Source organism: Homo sapiens, chromosome 5 (genome assembly GCF_000001405.40).
Source record: "Homo sapiens chromosome 5, GRCh38.p14 Primary Assembly".
Taxonomy (NCBI): domain Eukaryota; kingdom Metazoa; phylum Chordata; class Mammalia; order Primates; family Hominidae; genus Homo; species Homo sapiens.
This window is the reverse complement of record NC_000005.10, coordinates 126,563,061-126,581,613: the sequence shown is the minus strand read 5'-3', so window position 1 is coordinate 126,581,613 and position 18,553 is coordinate 126,563,061. Positions and strand designations below refer to the sequence as shown.

Here is an 18,553-nt window from a genome sequence, read left to right as displayed (position 1 = left end):
ATTTTACTGTCTTGCCCAGGCCAGAATGTAGTGGCATGATCACAGTTCACTGCAGCCTCAACATCCCCGGGATCAGGTGATCCTCCTACCTCAGCTAGGACTGTAGGTGCATGCCACCATACCTGGCTATTTTTTTTTTTTTGTAGAGGTGGGGTTTTGCAGTGTTGCCCAGCTGGTCTCGAACTCCGGGGCTCAGGTGATCTGCCTGTCTCAACCTCCCAAAGTGTTAGGATTGCAGGCGTGAGCCACTGTGTCAGGCTGGAAATTGTTTTCGTATTATTCTATTAAGGGGCTTCCTTCATCTGTGTTTGCAGCTATCTATTTTGTTATAAAGAGACTATAATTTATTTAGTCAGCTTCCAAATGATGTATATGTAGGGCTGTTTTCAGTGTTTTGCTATTACAAGCTGTTCTGTAAGAACCAATCTTATACTCTGAGGTTTTAACAATGAAGATACTAAGATGACAGCAAGAGTAAGAAAAAAAAAAAAGCTGGACAAGATGGCTCACACCTGTAATCCCAGCACTTCAGGAGGCCAAGGTGGGCAGATCACCTGAGGTCGGGAGTTAGAGACCATCCTGGCCAACATGGAGAAACCCCATTTCCACTAAAAATACAAAATTAGTGAGGCATGGTGGCGCATGCCTGTAATCCCAGCTACTCGGGAGGCTGAGGCAGGAGAATCGCTTGAACCCGGGAGGCGGAGGTGGCGGTGAGCCGAGATCGTGCCATTGCACTGCAGCCTGGACAACAAGAGCGAAACTCCATCTCAAAAAAAAAAAAAAATGAGGTTAAGAGTGTAAGCAATTTGTGATGTTTGCAATGTGGATAGAGCAAAACAGGTGACTGTATGTCTGCATTGGCAATGGTGGGATAGAAGTGTATGCTAAAGTGGTAGCAGTGGTTATCTCTGTGGCAGAATTACTAGTAGTGGATTTTCTTCTATTTTTCTGCATTTTCTAAATTTCCATGATGGTTATTAGGTTACATTTATAATAAGGAAATAATATTTTTTAAAAAATCATATTTTTCTCTTTTTCTTGGAATATTGAGTAAATTCCCTACTTGTAGAAAGAGTTGGGGGAGTCTTTTTAAGTCTAATTAAGGACACTTAATGTCCTTAATTAGATATCTAGCAATGATTCCCATTATCCAATATTAATTTTATGTCATTGAACACTTTCAAGAGTTTTTTTCTAGCTAAGAAAAGTTAATAGGCCCACCGTGGTGGCTCACGCCTGTAATCCCAGCACTTTGGGAGGCAGAGGTGGGCGGATCACTTAAGGTCGGGAGTTTAAGACCAGCCTGACCAACATGGAAAAACCCCATCTCTAATAAAAATACGGATTAGCTGGGCATGGTGGCACATTCCTGTAATCCCAGCTACTCGGGAGGCTGAGGCAGGAGAATCACTTGAACCTGGGAAGCGGAGGTTGCAGTGAGCCGAGATCACGCCATTGTTCTCCAACCTGGGCAACAGAAGAAAACTCTGTCTCAACAACAACAGCAATAACAACAATACAGTCAATAAACCTCCAATTTGGGGATATGTACATGTGCAAGCAGGTAACTATTTGATTTATACCTACTATGATGCCTGCCTCACAATTAACAATTAAAATTTTTCTCAATTGCTTGCACATTTTCGTTTGTTTATTTGAGATAGGATCTGTCACCCAGGCTGGAGTGCAGTGGTGTGATTATAGCCCCTTGCAGCTTGGACCTCCTGGACTCAAGCAATCTTTCCACCTCAGCCTCCTGAGTAGCTGGGATTACAGGCACATGCCACCAAGCCCAGCTAATTTAAAAATTTTTCTTGTAGAGACGAGGTTGCACTATGTGGCCTAGGCTGGTCTAGAACTCCTTGGCTCAAATAATCCTCCTGCCTTGGCCACTCAAAGTGTTGGGATTGTAGGCATGAGCCACCACACCTAGCTTACACTTCTATTTTTTTTTTTAAAGCAGTTTACTCATTTATGTAGAGACTTTGGGGTAACTTTGGCTTTATTAATTCAATAAATGCTTATGGAGCATCTATCAGGTGCCGGGTAGTCTACTAGGTGATACTCGAGCTATAAGGCATAGTCCCTGTCCTCAAGGGATTTATAAGCTTATAAATTATACCTTAGAGTGGGAGATAAATAAACAGGTAATTATATCCAGCATAATCCAGCATGGTAAGTAATATGAGGGAGTAAACGGTAGGATGGTGGGCACATAGCTGGGATCCCCTAACCCAGCCTCATGAGTGCAGTCCAGGAAGGCCTCCAAGAGAAGGTTAGCCAAGGTAAGGTCCCAAATGGGACAAAGAGGAGAAGGAGTGGAGTGCTGGAAGTTGTTTTAAAGAAGGAAGAAGCCTGTGTGAAGGCTGAGAGGGTCTGGCTTATTTGGGAGGATTGCATTGCTTCAGCACAGCTGGAGGGTGCAGTGGTAGGGCAGATAGAGTGGAAAGAGAACCTCGGGAAGAGATTTTGTCTGACAAGGAGATTGGACTTTATTCTGAGAATAGCTACAGTAGGTATCCAAAATCCACAGGGTTATAAGCAAGGGGGTGACATCAGGGCAGAGATGGGAGGGCTGGAGAGGAGGAGGCAGGCCCTGCCAGGAAGAGGCAGGCCCTGCCAGGAAGAGGCTGTGCCAGCACTTCATCTCTAGGGATTAAGGTGCCCAGATTAAGGAGGGCCCAGGAGTGAGGTGCTGTGTCTGGTATGGTCCCTCATCCTAGCTAGCAGTGTGAGTGTGGCTAGAAAGACTGATGGCTGGGACAGCCACCTTTCCAGTTGGTCTGTGGTTTTAACTGGGATTTGTGAACCATCGTATTCGTGTGGTATGGTTCTATACTGTCCAGCTGCCTTTAATTAAAATAAACACCTTGTAGGATTATGGGTGACTTTAAAGTTTGTAAGTTTGTATTTAAAATACAATATTTTTGTTTGTTTTTTCTTTTCTTTTCTTTCTTTTTTTTTTTTTTTTTGATACAGGGTCTTACTCTGTTGTCCAGGCTGGAGTGCAGTGGTGCAATCCCAGGTCACTTCAGCCTCAATACCCTGGGCTCAAGCAGTTCTCCTCAGCCTCCCAAGTAGCTGGGACTACAGGCATATAACCAATCACACCTAACTAATTTTTAATTTTTTTTGTAGAGTCAGGGGTCTTGCCATGTTGATCCAAGTCTCAAACTGAGCTCAAGTGATTCTCCCGTCCCAGCATCCCAAAGTGCTGGACATTGTAGGCATGAGCCACTGCTCCTAGCTGATTTGTATTTTTAGTTTCTTATAGTGAATGTAAAGATTTGCGTAATTCATTTTATTTATTTATTTATTTTTTGAGGCGGAGTCTCCCTCTGTTGCCCAGGCTGGAGTGTAATGGCAGGATCTCGGCTCACTGCAACCTCTGCCTCCCGGGGTCAAGTGATTCTCCTGCCTCAGTCTCCTGAGTAGCTGGGATTACAGGCACCCGCCACCACGCCCGGCTAATTTTTGTTTTTTCAGTAGAGACAGGGTTTCACCATGTTGGCCAGGCTGATCTTGAACTCCCGACCTCAAGTCGGGAGTCCACCTGCCTTGGCCTCCCAAAGTGCTGGGATTACAGGAGTGAGCCACCACGCCCGGCCTGCATAATTCATTTATTCAACATATATATAATTATTAGAACTCCCCCTTCCCATCTTCCACCAATAAATGAGCCACCTTGTCTTGAATTCAGAGAAGTTGGCCCAGGGATTCGTCAGGTAACATAAAGAATATGTGAGGCCAGGCGTGGTGGCTCACTCCTGTAATCCCAGCACTTTGGGAGGCCAAGGTGGATGGATCACTTGAGGTCAGGAGTTTGAGACCAGCCTGGGCAACGTGGTGAAACTCCTTCTCTACTAAAAATAAAAAATTAGCTGGGCATGGTGGTGCGTGCCTGTAATCCCAGCTACTCAGGAGGGTGGGGCTCGAGGATTGCTTGAACTCGGGAGGTGCAGTTGCAGTGAGCTGAGATTGCGCCACTCCACTCCAGCCTGGGTGACAGAGTGAGACTGACTCAAAACCAAACAAAACAACATGGGCCTAAGCCCCTGTGCCCTGGTCATGTTCTGCCCTTTGTGATCATACCACCTAGGGCACCCATCAACTCTAGAAAGTGTCCTTGTCTCCCAGGTGCACTGATACTGCTCTGATCTATGCAGAGTTCCTATGAAGATCAGAGGCATAATGAATATCATTATGATTTACAAGGTAGTGTGGTAATAACCACTTTTGTTGTACATTAGTTAATGTACTGATATCCCATGGCTGTGTAGCAATTTCCCACTATAAGGCATCTGGAATCTTCTCCAGTCTGCTGTACGTTTGTTCTTATTAACTTGATGGGCATTAAATTAACATGCTTCTGCATGTTCCATCCTTTTTCTGTCCTCAGGATCTGGCCATGCACTGATTGAGCAGTGGAATCCCGTAGGCCTGGTTGGAATCATCACGGCATTCAATTTCCCTGTGGCAGTGTATGGTTGGAACAACGCCATCGCCATGATCTGTGGAAATGTCTGCCTCTGGTAAGACCTGCTCACTTTCCTATTTAGTAGTGAGTGATAAAAATAGCCATTTCTAGATACTACTACCTCAGCCTCTTCAGTAACTGGGATTATAAGTGTGCATCACCACACCTGGCTTCTTCAATAAAACTTTATTTTATTTTATTTTTTTGAGATGGAGTTTCACTCTTGTTGCCCTGGCTGGAGTGTAATGGTGCGAACTCAGCTCACTGCAACCTCCGCCTCCCAGGTTCAAGCAATTCTCCTGCCTCAGCCTCCCAAGTGGCTGGGATTACAGGCATGCGCAACCATGCCCGGCTCATTTTTTGTATTTTTAGTAGAGATGGGGTTTCACGATGTTGGCCAGGCTGGTTTTGAACTCCTGACCTCAGGTGATCCACCTGCCTTGGCCTCCCAAAATGTTGGCATTACAGGTATTAGCCATTGCACCTGGCCAATAAAACTTTGGTAGTGAACTCCCAAGTAATTCTGAGGCAGTTGGTCAGTGTTTCCATTTAGGTCTTAAATTTTTCAACTCTGCAAAATATCTGATAGTAAAAATGTTATATTTTAGATGGCAAACAGTTACTTGTTTTTTACTTTTGTGTTCAGTGGAAGAAATTAAATAAGGAAAATCAGGACAATTGTCTTTAGCTCATTTTGCTTGCATCTGTTCCACTAGTTATTAATTTGTTTTAAATGTGTGGTACTCAGTTGAATGTATTCAAAAACTAACTGTAAAATAGGACATATTTGGGAGGACTAATAACTGTATTTCTTACTTTAACAAGAGAAAAAACTCTGCTTGTCCACAATTCTTTTTTTTTTTTTTTTTTTGTGACAGAGTCTTGCTCTGTCGCCCAGGCTGGAGTGCAGGGGCGCGGTCTCGGCTCTCTGCAAGCTCCGCCTCCCAGGTTCACGCCATTCTCCTGCCTCAGCCTCCCGAGTAGCTGGGACTACAGGCGTCTGCCACCACGCCCGGCTAATTTTTTTTGTATTTTTAGTAGAGAAGGGGTTTCACTGTGTTAGCCAGGATGGTCTCAATCTCATGACCTCGTGATCCGCCCGTCTCGGCCCCCCAGAGTGCTGGGATTACAGGCGTGAGCCACCGCGCCCTGCCTGTCCACAATTCTTTAGCCTGCAGGGCATTGATATTTTCTGACCGACATGGTTTGGTGGGAACTAGCCCCGAGCTCTTTCAGGGTTCTGCCCCATGTTGTGAAAGGAACTCATGTTTTCCAACATTCTAATCTAAAAAGGTTCATTGTGTAGTTTTCCTCAGCTCTCTGAGTTTTCCAAGGAAGTTTACTTAATGCAGCACGTTGGTAGATTTCTGCTTCACTCAGTTCCTATAACTGGCTGAGGTTAATGTAGTGATTCCTGCGATCAGTGCAGCAAGCTGATTCAGAATTGCTTGGTGCCATTTTTATGTTCATGAAAGTTTTGTTGTTCCTTAGGTCTCAAAGACACCCAGCTGAAGGACAGATTTCTGTTTCAGTTACTAGACTCACTTGTTAGTTGTCTAATTGGACAGAGCTTTTTCTCACACTTTTGCTTCTGTTTGATAATAAAAGGTATTTATGGTTTCCGTCAAATAAGTTTTTCTTTTTCTTTTTTTGTTTTAACCTTCTTAAGGAAAGGAGCTCCAACCACTTCCCTCATTAGTGTGGCTGTCACAAAGTAAGTACATGTGGCTTTCTTTTTCCTGGGTATGGAATAATATTGAAAGGGTTATTGATAGGCCCTGACTTTTTAATCTGATGTCAGAGTCACATAGCATGGAATTTGGATAACCTCTTTCTCCTTTGCTTGTAATATTATTTTTATATACAGAGTGCTTTCAGTGCCATGTCATTTAATTTAACTCTTTGGAAACATGCCAGATATTGACATATTGATTGAACTCTTGCAGACATTATTTTGTCACTTGGAAAATAAAAGCATCTTCAGTGGAAAGGAAAATTTTGCAATTTAGGATCTATATTTTCTCACTATTCAACAAGTTAGTGGTTTTGAGAATAGATTTCTATCTAGCTAATACTTTTGTTGCTTTTGCTTAATAGAGTGTTAACAAAACTGATTATTACACTAATCTGCTGATTCATCTAACACTAAAATGTATCGCATCTTTTGGTTAAAAAATTATTAATGCTTTACTTATATTTGAGAATTTGGCAGCTCTGGTTAAGTCATAAAAGCAATGTGACTGATTTGTCATTCTGGAATTTGGAGGATGTATAGAGTTAGGGTGCCTTCCCATGTAGGATTAGGATGTACCTTTGATGTTCCATTGGTTGCATCTGCATTCTGATTTCAGAATTATTAGTAGAGAAATTGGGGTGGAGACTGTGGGCAAGAGGGTTCTTCATATTAGAATATTATTATTATTATTATTATTATTTTTTGAGATGGAGTCTTGCTCTGTCACTCAGGCTGGAGTCCAGTGGTGCGATCTCGGCTCACTGCAAGCTCCACCTCCCGGGTTCACGCCATTCTCCTGCCTCAGCCTCCCGAGTAGCTGGGAGTACAGGTGCACACCACCACACCCAGCTAATTTTTTGTGTTTTTAGTAGAGATGGGGTTTCACCGTGTTAGCCAGGATGGTCTTGATCTCCTGACCTCATGATCCACCTGCCTCAGCTTCCCAAAGTGCTGGGATTACAGGCATGAGCCACCACGCCCGGCTATTATTATTATTTTTGAGATGGAGTCTTGCTCTGTCGCCAGGCTGGAGTGCAGTGGTGCAATCTTGGCTCACGGCAACCTCCGACTCCCTGGTTCAAGTGATTCTCCTGCCTCAGCCTCCCGAGTAACTGGGATTACAGGCTTGTGCCACCACGCCTGGCTAATTTTTTGTATTTTTAGTAGAGATGGGGTTTCACCATGTTGGCCAGGATGGTCTCGATGTCTTGACCTTGTGATCCGCCTGCCTTGGCCTCCCAAAGTGCTGGGATGGGCATGAGCCACTGTGCCCAGCCTAGAAGATTATTTAGAATAGTGGTTTAGGAATTGGAAAGTGGTGGGCTGGAAAAGAGCAAGGGTAATATGTTTTCTTTTTTTTTTTTTTTTTTTTTTTGAGACAGTCTTTGTTGCCCAGGCTGGATTGCAGTGGGGCCATCTCAGCTTACTGTAGTTTCTGCTTCCTGGGTTCAAGAGATTCTCATGTCTCAGCCTCCCGAGTAGCTGGGATTATAGGTGTGGGCCACCACGCCGGGCTAATTTTTTTTTTTTTAAAGACAGAGTCTTGCTCTGTCGCCCAGGCTGGAGGGCAGTGGCACAATCTCGGCTCACTCCAACCTCTGCCTCCCAGGTTCAAGCGATTGTCCTGCCTCAACCTCCCAAGTAGCTGGGATTACAGGTGCATGCCACCATGCTTGGCTAATTTTTTCTTTTTTTTTTTTTTGAGACTGAGTCTTGCTCTGTCACCAGGCTAGAGTGCAGTGGTGCGATCTCGGCTCACTGAAACCTCTGCCTCCCGGGTTCAAGCGATTCTCCTGCTTCAGCCTCCCGAGTGGCTGGGACTACAGGTGTGCGCCACCACGCCCGGCTAATTTTTTGTATTTTAGTAGAGATGGGGTTTCACCATGTTGGCCAGGATGGTCTCGATCTCCTGACCTCGTGATCTGCCCGCCTCAGCCTCCCAAAGTGCTGGGATTACAGGTGTGAGCCACCGTGCCCAGCTAGCTAATTTTTATATTTTTAGTAGACATGGGGTTTCACCATGTTGTCCAGGCTGGTCTTGAATTCCTGGCCTCAAGTCATCTGCCTGCCTCGGCCTCCCAAAGTGCTAGGATTACAGGCATGAGCCACTGCCCCTGGCCTAAAAATAAACCTAAAAAACAAACAAACAAAACAAAACAAAACCCAGCAGAATAATTAATGTGGAAGTAGTGAACTGACTTAATTGTTACGAAGTAGCTGGTTAAAATATTGTTCATTTTGATACTGGTTTTGCTTTAAGCTTTTTTTTTTTTTTTTTTTTTGCTTTAAATGGTTGAAGAATTTGAAATGTTCATGTAAGAGTTTATATGCTGGTTGATGGTCTTCAAAGCACTGAAAATGTTATTTGCTTTTGTAATAGAAGATAAGTAAAATGATGCTAAATTTTGCTGGAATTAACTAAGGGTGATGCAGTGCTACAAAGAGGTCTTCGTAAATTCAACTAAATTTTCAGATTCCTAAGATGACCCCAGGCCACATATGGTTCTTCTGTGTATTCAGAAGGATATAGGACAGCAGCATAGCTTGTCAGGAGGATGGCATCAGGTATTCCTCTTTAATCAGTGTTCTTGTCACAATCATACAGGTACAAGAAAGTGAGAGCCCCATTGGAGAGGTGTGGGGTTACCTTGGCTTAAAGCCTAATGCCCCACAGAAACCAAAATCTCTTGTAACAATTGTAGCTTTCAGGGGCCACAGGGACATGCAGTTACAAGTGTCACTGCACTCAGGAAAGGCCAAAAAGCATGGCATTCCCATTAATAGCTCATAGATACTCAGTTCAGATGGAAGTGACCAGGCAGGGATCATTTTTACCATAAGCCGGGTTGTCTAAGAAACATTGATGACACTCTGACACTTATCAGGTGACATGGAGAACAGTGCTAGAGTTCAACTTAAAGTTAGATTCTCATGCCTTAGGGGCAGGGGTTTGTTAACCTTTACCCATAGGCACAAAACAAAAGCCTTGCCCTTAAAGAGAGTACAGTCTACTTGTGCAGACAATATAGACACCCGGAGTCCCTGGGAAGAATTGTACATCCTGAAACCTGGTCTTGGACATGAGAGCTGGAGTTCATGATCCTTGATTGGATCCTGGATTGGAAGGAAGAAAGAAAACAGCTATAAAGGGTATTTTAGGGGAACTTAGGTGTGATAATGATACCTTTTCTATGAAAGTGAGCATGGGATTTGAGAGTTTTTGAAATTTAAACAAATTGGAAAGTAGCCAGTAAGTTGAGATGATTGATGAAAATAACCTTTGCTCTTTGGTCCTCTGGAAACTCAAAATGAATGGAATCCTTTTTCAGAGAAACCAGAATTATTTTAGCCATTTTTTTATGACTCAAAATCAGATTTAAGTAGTACTTAAATGTATTTCTCATTCTAACAAGAGAAAAAACTCTGCTTGTCTGCAATTCTTTAGCCTGCAGGGCACTGATATTTTCTGACCGACATGGTTTGGTGGGAACTAGCCTCAAGCTCTTTCAGGGTTCTGCAGGGTGGCCCCAGCTCCTTCTTTTGTGTCTGTGGCATTTACTTTAGGTTTTGGGGATCCCTTCCCCTTCCCCAATTTGTGCTTTACAACTTCTCTAACTCTGCTTTGCAGAGATGTGTTTAAATCTCTTATTTGCTGGTGGTGACTACCTCTAATTTCCTTCATCGTTCTAGGTCTTATTCCTTTTTAATCATCATTTTAATAGATTTGTGTAAGACCAAAAAAAAAATAAATAAATAAATAAAAGGCCCAGTGATCAGTCTGCTGTCTTGAACCAGATGTGTCCTCATAGTTTGGGAGAAAATACTTGAAAACAATGACAGTTTGAGCTACCTAAACAATGCTTCGTGTCTTCTATTTATGTTCTATGTTTTTTTCTTCTTCTCAAGATTCTTTTTTTTTTTTTTGAGATACAGTCTCCCTGTCTTCCAGGCTGGAGTGAGTGGCATGATCTCAGCTCACTGCAACCTCTGTCTTCCAGGTTCAAGCGATTCTCCTGCCTCAGCCTCCTGAGTAGGTGGGATTACAGGCTCCCACCGTCACTCTCGGCTAATTTTTATATTTTTAGTAGAGATGGGGTTTCACCATGTTGGCCAGGCTGGTGTTGAACTCCTCACCTCAAGTGATCCACCTGCTTCGGCCTCCCAAAGTGCTGGGATTGCAGGCATGAGCCACCACACCTGGCCTCAAGATTCTTTTAGGGCTAAAAAAAAAAAAAAAAAAAAAAAAAATCTGCTAATAGTTTTTTGAAAACGGCATTTTCAATATGTGAGGAGAAATCCAGGTCTGAATGTTTGAGGACAGAAGGACAGAGTCTGGTATAAGAGGGTTCTTAATGTTAGAAGTCCATTTAGGAACAATGACTTAGAAATTGAAAAGTGGGCTGAAAAAGCAAGAGAGTAGTATATTTGAGGGATGGGAGAGAAAGTTGAAAAAAGGAGAGTCAAGTGGTTGGAATTTATTCCTTGTTTTTAAAAAAATGCCTTAAATTATTGCCTCAGTAATTGCTTTTTCCTTTCTAGGATAATAGCCAAGGTTCTGGAGGACAACAAGCTGCCTGGTGCAATTTGTTCCTTGACTTGTGGTGGAGCAGATATTGGGTAGGTTACTAGGCTGAGAGCATCCTCTGTTGAAGGACCCCAGGTTGACCAACTAGAATCATCGTTACTAGAATAATGAACTCACTTATAACTAAGGAGTTGAGAATGGTTTTTGAAATCATTATTATTATGGACTTTGTTGGGTTCTTATTTTATTAATGCCTAACTCCTATTGGAGGATGAATAAGAATTGTCTTTTTAATTGCCCAGAGGTACTATTTGTTAAGGTGTTTATATCCTGAAATAACAAACTGCTGTAATGGGGGGCAGCCTGTGACTTCCTGACACTTGGTTTATCAAGGTGTTTACTTACAAAGAAAGCTATGAAATTGTAGTCTGGGGTCTCACTGCCTGCCAAGAACCTAGCCTATTGTCTGAGTTTCTCAGCTGACTGAAAAAGGGAACCCTGGGAACACAGCCTCTTTTTAGTAAAATTGTTTTTTTCTTTTTTAATTGCCATATAATTCACAATTCGTGTACCATAAAATCATGAAATGCTCTCTTTTAAAGTGTACAATATAGTGGTTTTTAAAATATTCAGAGTATTGTATATCTATCACCACTATCTTATTCCAGAACATTTTGATCAGCCAAGAAATTAATCCCATACCCACTGGCAGTCTCTTCCCATTCCCCCTGCCCTCATGCCCTGACAGCCACTAAAGAATTTTCTGTCTCTATGGATTTGCCTATTTGAGACATTTTGTATAAATGTAATCATATAACATGTGGCCTTTTGTGTCTTGCTGCTTTTACTTGGCATGATATTAAGATGACATGGACTATACTTGTGCTGAACTGGGATGAAAGCTGAGGTTCTTACCAGCTTAGACTTTGATTAGGTGAGTTTTTCAGGAGTCAAGTCTTACAACCCATACTGGTGTGGCTAAAGTGTTAGTTTCCTTGCCTTCCAACACTTTTAAATACTATTGTACTTACTGGGCAATCTCAAAAAGGAGCAATAAGTTACTCTGTTTTTCATTACTCTGTTTTTCATATTAATGAGAAAATTTTAGAAATACAACTCCCACATGTATAATGCAGAGTGAAATATTATCTAAGTGTCATTTAAAACATGAGTTGGCCTTTGACTGTATTCTTGCATTCTAGGTATTTAGTCCTTGTGCTGGCCTTGCAATAGCTCAGATAATTATGGTAGTATATACAGGAGCATGTTAAGCAGCAGCCACTTTGAGTATTAGTGCTCATGCTTGCTGAGTTGAACCTTGGAAGACTGACCTAGGCAATTGAGCCAAGCCGTCCAGCCCTACGTTAGACTGATGCTGTGGCTGCCCTGCTTGGTTCACACTGGACCCTTTGTAGCACTGAATTAGGAAGAAAGAGGTTCAAATCAGTAGTGTCTGATTTGCATTCCTTAGAAGCAACTGGAAATCCTAGCATAGCCTTTATAAGTAGGCTTCCATGAGGAATACTTTAGGATAGCGGTCCCCAACCTTTCTGGCACCAGGGACTGGGACTGGTTTAGTGGAAGACAATTTTTCCATGGACCACGGCAGGGGGATGGTTTTAGGCTGAAATTGTTCCACTCAGATCATAAGGCATTAGTTAGATTCTCATAAGGAGCATGCAATCTAGATCCCTTGCATGCACAGCTCACAATAGAGTTCACACTCCTCTGAAGATCTAATGCTGCTGCTGATCTGACAGGAGGTGGCACTCAGGCAGTAATGCTCGCCAGGTTGCCTGCTGCCTACCTCCTGCTGTGCAGCCTGGCTCCTAATAGGCCACAGACTGGTACTGGTCAGCATCCTGGGGCTTGGGGACCCCTGCTTTAGGATATTTCCCTACAGGCTTTTAAGTTTGAATTCTTTTATTTTTTATTTATTTTATTTTTATCTTTTTGAGACAGGGTCTCACTCTGTCACCTAGGCTGGAGTGCAGTGGCTTGACCTCAGCTCACTGCAACCTCCGCCTCCCAGTTTCAAGTGATCCTCCTACCTCAGCCTCCCAAGTAGCGCATGCCTCCACACCTGGCTAATTTTAGTATTTTTTATAGAGATGGGGTTTCATCGTGTTGCCTAGGCTGGTCCTGCCCAAGTTTTAATCCTTAAAGGAATTACACAGCAGTTAAAAGTTTGTAAAACTGGAATGCTCAGCAAGGAAATGCTAAGATCATATTGTCCAGTCACTCACTCAGTATAGGAAAGACTTTCTTCCCTAACAACTTCCTCTAGGTGATTTCTATTCAAATGCTCACAGCAGGTTAGCCTCTTCTGCCTAATGGTTCTACCTGTGAAAAACTTTTTTCCTTCTCATGAAGACCTTCCCTTGCTCCCCTGGGACAGACTTTCTTGTAGCTTCAAGGGACTGCTTTTTCAAGGGCACTTCAGTGCTGGGTACCATTAGATGTTGTAATTGCTGGGTTTCTCTGCTTGGGTGGCCGACCGTGTCTGTTCCCTTGCAGCACAGCAATGGCCAAAGATGAACGAGTGAACCTGCTGTCCTTCACTGGGAGCACTCAGGTGGGAAAACAGGTGGGCCTGATGGTGCAGGAGAGGTTTGGTAAGTGTTGGCTTTCTAATGAGGATTTTAATTCTCTCAAATATGGAGGTGAAATCTAAAAGTTGAGTTTTTGTTTTCCCCTCAACCTTTTCCATGGAGGCAGTGGTCATGTTTATTTGAATGTCTAAGTAAAAGAAAAGGGTACAGTTATTAGCAGTAGAATATTAGGGAAGTCCTAAATTTAAATACCAAAATTTATGAAAATCCCAGCACTTTGGGAGGCCAAGGCAGGTGGATCACAAGGTCAGGAGATCCAGACCATCCTGGCTAACACGGTGAAACCCCATCTCTACTAAAAATACAAAAAATTAGCGGGGCGTGGTGGCGGGCTCCTGTAGTCCCAGCTACTCGGGAGGCTGAGGCAAGAGAATGGTCTGAACCCGGGAGGTGGAGCTTGCAGTGAGCCGAGATGGCGCCATTGCACTCCAGCCTGGGCGGCAGAGCGAGACTCCGTCACAAAAAAAAAAAAAAGAAAAAAAAAAATTCAAGCCAGGCACAGTGGCTTACGCCTGTAATCCCAGCACTTTGGGAGGCCGAGGTGGGTGGATCACGAGGTCAGGAGCTCAAGACCAGCCTGGGCAAGATGGTGAAACCCCGTCTCTGCTAAAAATACAAAAAGTAGCCGGGCGTGGTGGCATGTGCCTGTAATCCCAGCTACTGGGGAGGCTGAGGCAGGAGAATGGCGTGAACCCGGGAGGTGGAGCTTGCAGTGAGCCGAGATCGCGTCACTGCACTCCAGCCTGGGTGACAGAGTGAGACTCCGTCTAAAAAAAAAAAAAAGTTATGAAAGGAAGTCATTTTCTCTCTAAATGGGTATAATTGAATCACATAGAATATTTATGTTTGAAATGTTTGTTTTTGGGTGCTGTAAAGAAATAGTACTTGAACATAAATTTATTTAGTAAGGCCATTTTTACTTCCTGTAGAAAGGGTACAGTCGCCAGCAGTTTTGCCAAGACAGTACACTGAACAAAGGAGACAGGGTCATTTATAACCTGATGCGTCCACCCTACTGCTGTGTCCAGTTTCCATTGGCTGGAATGGGACCTCACATTTTGTATTTCTCCCAATTGGCTAGCAACTTAGAACTTTTTAAAAGAGGCAAAAGTAGAGGAGAACAAAGGAAGGAGAAAGTAACTTGTGGAATGCTGAGAAAGGTAAAAACACTTAAATAAGGAAGAGGAACAGGCTATGACCTAATGTGTGCTTGGACCAGTATAAGCATGCCAGGGCAAATATTTAGGAGCACAAGTCTTTGAATAAATTTTGCTTTTAAGAGAAGTTATTATTTATTTTTAATTAGATGGGGAGGAAAGTCTTTGAAGAGGAAGCTCTACTTTACTTTTTACACTTATCAAATTGTACTAGTCCTATTTGGCAAATTAAAGAAGAAAAATGTCATCATTTCTCATTAGTATAGTGGTGAGAAAAATGTCATCATTTAAACAGGAGCACTGAGTACAGAACTTACAGTGAGTGTGGAATAGAAGGCTTAAATCTGCTCTTCTCTCATGTATATGGATCATGGATATGGATCCATATGTATCCATATGCATATGGATCATGGATATGGATCCTGGATACATGATTGAAAAGGGTTGTATAGACATAGCTTTGTATACTGTACTGTGCTTTATGGATGATTTCCAAGGTTTTTGAGGATAATATTGGCTATCAATTTTTGGCTGTCAGGATGAATTTTAGACTTTAACCCCAGCATAAGATAACATTTGACTAATCTGTCAACTGTTTAACTATGTAGGCATTGCTTTTAAAAAGGAATTTATTAAAAAACAGCTAATGAAAAAGGTCAGCAAGGTTGCAGGACTCAAGATTGAGATACAAAAATCAATTATATTTCTATGCATTAACAATGAACAATCCAAAAATGAAATCCAGAAAACAATTCAATTTGTAGTAGCGTCAAAAAGAATAAAATACTTAGGAATACATTTAACAAAAGAAGTGTAAGTCTGTTGCACGGAGCACTACAAATCATCATCAAAATAAATTAAAGATGACCTAAATAAATGAGTAGATATCCCCTTTTCATTTTTTGGAAGATTTAATATTGTTAAGGTTTCAATATGGTCCACATGATTACAGATTCAATGCAATTCCTGTAAAAATCCCAGTTTTCTGTTTTGTGACAACTGACAAGTTAATTCTAAAATTCACATGACAATGCAAAGGACCCTAAAAGGCCAAAACAATCTTGAAAAAGAAGATAATTGAAGGACTCTCACTTCTCAGTCAAAAAATTTACGGCAAAACTATGATAATCAAGACTATGTGGCACCAGCATAAGGATAGACATAAAAATCAATGGAATAGAATTGGAAGTCCAGAGATAAACCCTTGTATTTATGGTCAGTTGTGTCAAGGGTGACAAGACATTTCAATGGGGAAAGGATGGTCTTTTTAACAAATGGTACTGACACAAGTAGCTATCTATACACATGAGTGTGAAGTCAGGCCCCTACTACATCTCCTATGCAAAGACAAACTCCAAATGTATCAAAGACCTATAAAACTCTTAGAAGAAAACATAGGAATAAGTTTTCATGACCTTGGATTAGGCGATGGTTTCTTAGAAATGACAACTAAAGCACAAGCAACAACAATTAAAAGACAAATTAGTTTTTATCAAAATTAAAGCATTTTGTGCTTCAAAGGACATCAGGAAAAAGTGAAAAGAACAACCTACCGAATGGCAGAAAATGTTTGTAAGTCATTTGATAAGGAACTTGTATGTAGAATATATAAAGAACTCTTAAAATGTAAGAATATAAAAGACAACCCAATTAAAAATGGGCATTGGATTTGAATAGCCGTCTTTTTTTTTTTTTTTTTTTTTTTTTTTTGAGATGGAATCTCACGCTCTGTTGCCCAGGCTGGAGTGCAGTGGGGAGATCCTGGCTCACTGCAACCTCTGCCTCCCAGGTTCAAGTGATTCTTCTGCCTCAGCCTCCCAAGTAGCTGGGATTACAGGCATGCGCCACCATGTCCGACTAATTTTTGTATTTTTAGTAGAGACAGGGTTTCACCATCTTGGCCAGGCTGGTCTCAAACTCCAGACCTTGTGATCCGCCCGCCTTGGCCTCCCGAAGTGCTGGGATTACAGGCATAAGCCACCGCACCAGGCCTAGAATAGACATCTTAAATGGCCGATTAGCACATGAAAAGATTCTCAACATCATTAGTCCCACGAGCAGATTTCATCTTCTCACCTTTCTCCCCTTTTCCTTACTCAAGGCGGTAGTTTGTTGTTCTTGGCTAAGTAGTAATAGTAGTAGTAGTAGAATTATAATTTTTAAAATGTATCTGCCTGTCTTAATTATAGGTGCTTTTCTTGGAGGAGTTGGTGGTTAGGAGTATAGTCAGAGAGCGCCTGATAGAGAACTGGAAGGATGTAGAAAGTATAGATCCCTCCTCTTCTGCCAAACATCACTTGCAGCCAGGCAGGAGAAGCTAATGTCAGGCGTAAAAGCTTCCGTTTCCTTCCTTCTCTTCTTAACACCTAGCATAGCGCTATGCTATAGCCAGCAAGCTGTCATTAATTCAATGATTGCAGCAGAGACTAGAGTTGGTGTAGCATTTGGTGGCTTTTGGTAGTAACAGCCATGTCTTCATAATTAATATTCACTTGATGCTTACCTGTTTCAGAGCAATGGAAATGAGAAGATACTCTGCTGTTGTCACATATGCTCCTGATATCACAAATGAATAAAAGTTATTCACATGGAAGCTGATTTTAAAGTGCACTTAAGGAAATCGATGATCAAAAGATCAGTAATAAATGTATGTCTAAGGCTGGGCACAGTGGCTCACGTCTGTAATCCTAGCACTTTGGGAGGCTGAGGTGGGTGAATTGCCTGAGCTCAAGAGTTCAAGACCAGCCTGGGCTACATGGTGAAACTCCCATCCCTACTAAAATACAAAAAAATTAGCTAGGTGTGGCGGCATGCCCAGCTACTTGGGAGGCTGAGGCAAGAGAATTGCTTGAACCCAGAGGCAGAGGTTGCAGTGAGCTGAGATTGCACTGCTGCATTCCAGCCTGGCAACAGAGTGAGACTCTGTCTCAAAAATAAATAAACATATGTCTAAAATTGAGGCAAACACATCTCTCAGATCTTTATGCTGGGAGGAGTAAGGTAAGAATGGCATTTATAGGCCAGGTGTAGTGGCTCATATCTGTAATCCCAGGACTTTGGGAGGTCAAGGTGGGTGGATCGCTGGAAGCTAGGAATGAGACCAGAGCCTGGGCAACATTGTGAAAACCTGTCTCTTAAAACAAAACAAAACAAGCCAGGTGTTGTGACACGTGCTTGTTGTATGAGCTACTTGGGAGGCTGAGGATGGAGGTTGGCTTGAACCCAGAAATTGAGGCTGCAGTGAGCTATGATAGCACCACTATATTCCAGCCTGGGTGACTCTTGAAAAAAGAAAGAAAGAAAAAAAAATGGTGGGCCGGTTGCGATGGCTCAAGCCTGTAATCCCAGCACTTTGGGAGGCTGAGGCGGGCGGATCACCCGAGGTCAGGAGTTCAAGACCAGCCTGGCCAATATGGCAAAACCCCGTCTCTACTAAAAATACAAAAAAGAGCTGGGCGTGATGGTGCATGCCTGTAGTCCCAGCTACTTGGGAAGCTGAGACAGGAGAATCACTTGAACCCAGGAGGCGGAGATTTGCAGTGAGCCGAGATCACGCCACTGCACTCCAGCCTGGGCAACAGAGCAAGACTCTGACTGAAAAAAAAGAATGGCATTCATGGCCTGCTATATAACTTTTCTAGAATATAGGTTGGCAATGTCTGTCAAGAGTCCTAACCTAAGTAAATAATCAACAAATATATTCAACACTGGAGAAACAGCTAAATAAAATTTGGTATGTCATCATGATGGAATGCTATGGAGTGGTTTTTCTTTTCTTGACTTTTAATAACTTAGGGGAAAGGTGTAAGACATCAGAAAATAAAGTAAAATGAAATAATATAATCTCAACTAGATATAAATGCACAGAGGAAAGATTGGAAGACACTATCAAATTGTAAGTAGAGATTTTTGTGGTGGCCTTATGGGCCATAGGTTTCTTTCTTTCTTTTTAATTGTGGGGGAAAGTCCACACAACATAAAATTTACTTAAAAATGGTTAAGATGGTACACAGTTGAGTAGTGTCAAGTACATTCACATGATCA

The 18,553-nt window shown here is 42.3% G+C and overlaps 1 protein-coding gene across 3 annotated transcripts in view, besides 2 other annotated features; it reads left to right on the top strand.

The window, feature by feature from the left end:
* ALDH7A1 (aldehyde dehydrogenase 7 family member A1) overlaps positions 1-18,553 on the top strand; it is a 53,379-nt gene that overhangs the window by 13,606 nt on the left and 21,220 nt on the right. For all 3 annotated transcript variants that reach the window (NM_001202404.2, NM_001182.5, NM_001201377.2), the window contains exons 6-9: positions 4,403-4,535; positions 6,150-6,194; positions 10,755-10,832; positions 13,258-13,355. In NM_001202404.2, coding sequence (NP_001189333.2) covers positions 4,403-4,535; positions 6,150-6,194; positions 10,755-10,832; positions 13,258-13,355 — 354 coding nt within the window. The remainder of the gene's footprint in view (positions 1-4,402; positions 4,536-6,149; positions 6,195-10,754; positions 10,833-13,257; positions 13,356-18,553) is intronic.
* Positions 12,809-13,554: an enhancer, noted in NCBI's record as "OCT4-NANOG-H3K27ac hESC enhancer chr5:125903752-125904497 (GRCh37/hg19 assembly coordinates)". NCBI's record gives its function as "activates a minimal SCP1, AML or CMV promoter by ChIP-STARR-seq in primed H9 embryonic stem cells {active_cell/tissue: H9 hESC(primed)}" and the evidence as "EXISTENCE:reporter gene assay evidence [ECO:0000049][PMID:30033119]".
* Positions 13,691-13,891: a silencer, noted in NCBI's record as "peak5455 fragment used in MPRA reporter construct". NCBI's record gives its function as "represses an SCP1 promoter by STARR-seq MPRAs in K562 erythroleukemia cells {active_cell/tissue: K562}" and the evidence as "EXISTENCE:reporter gene assay evidence [ECO:0000049][PMID:32103011]".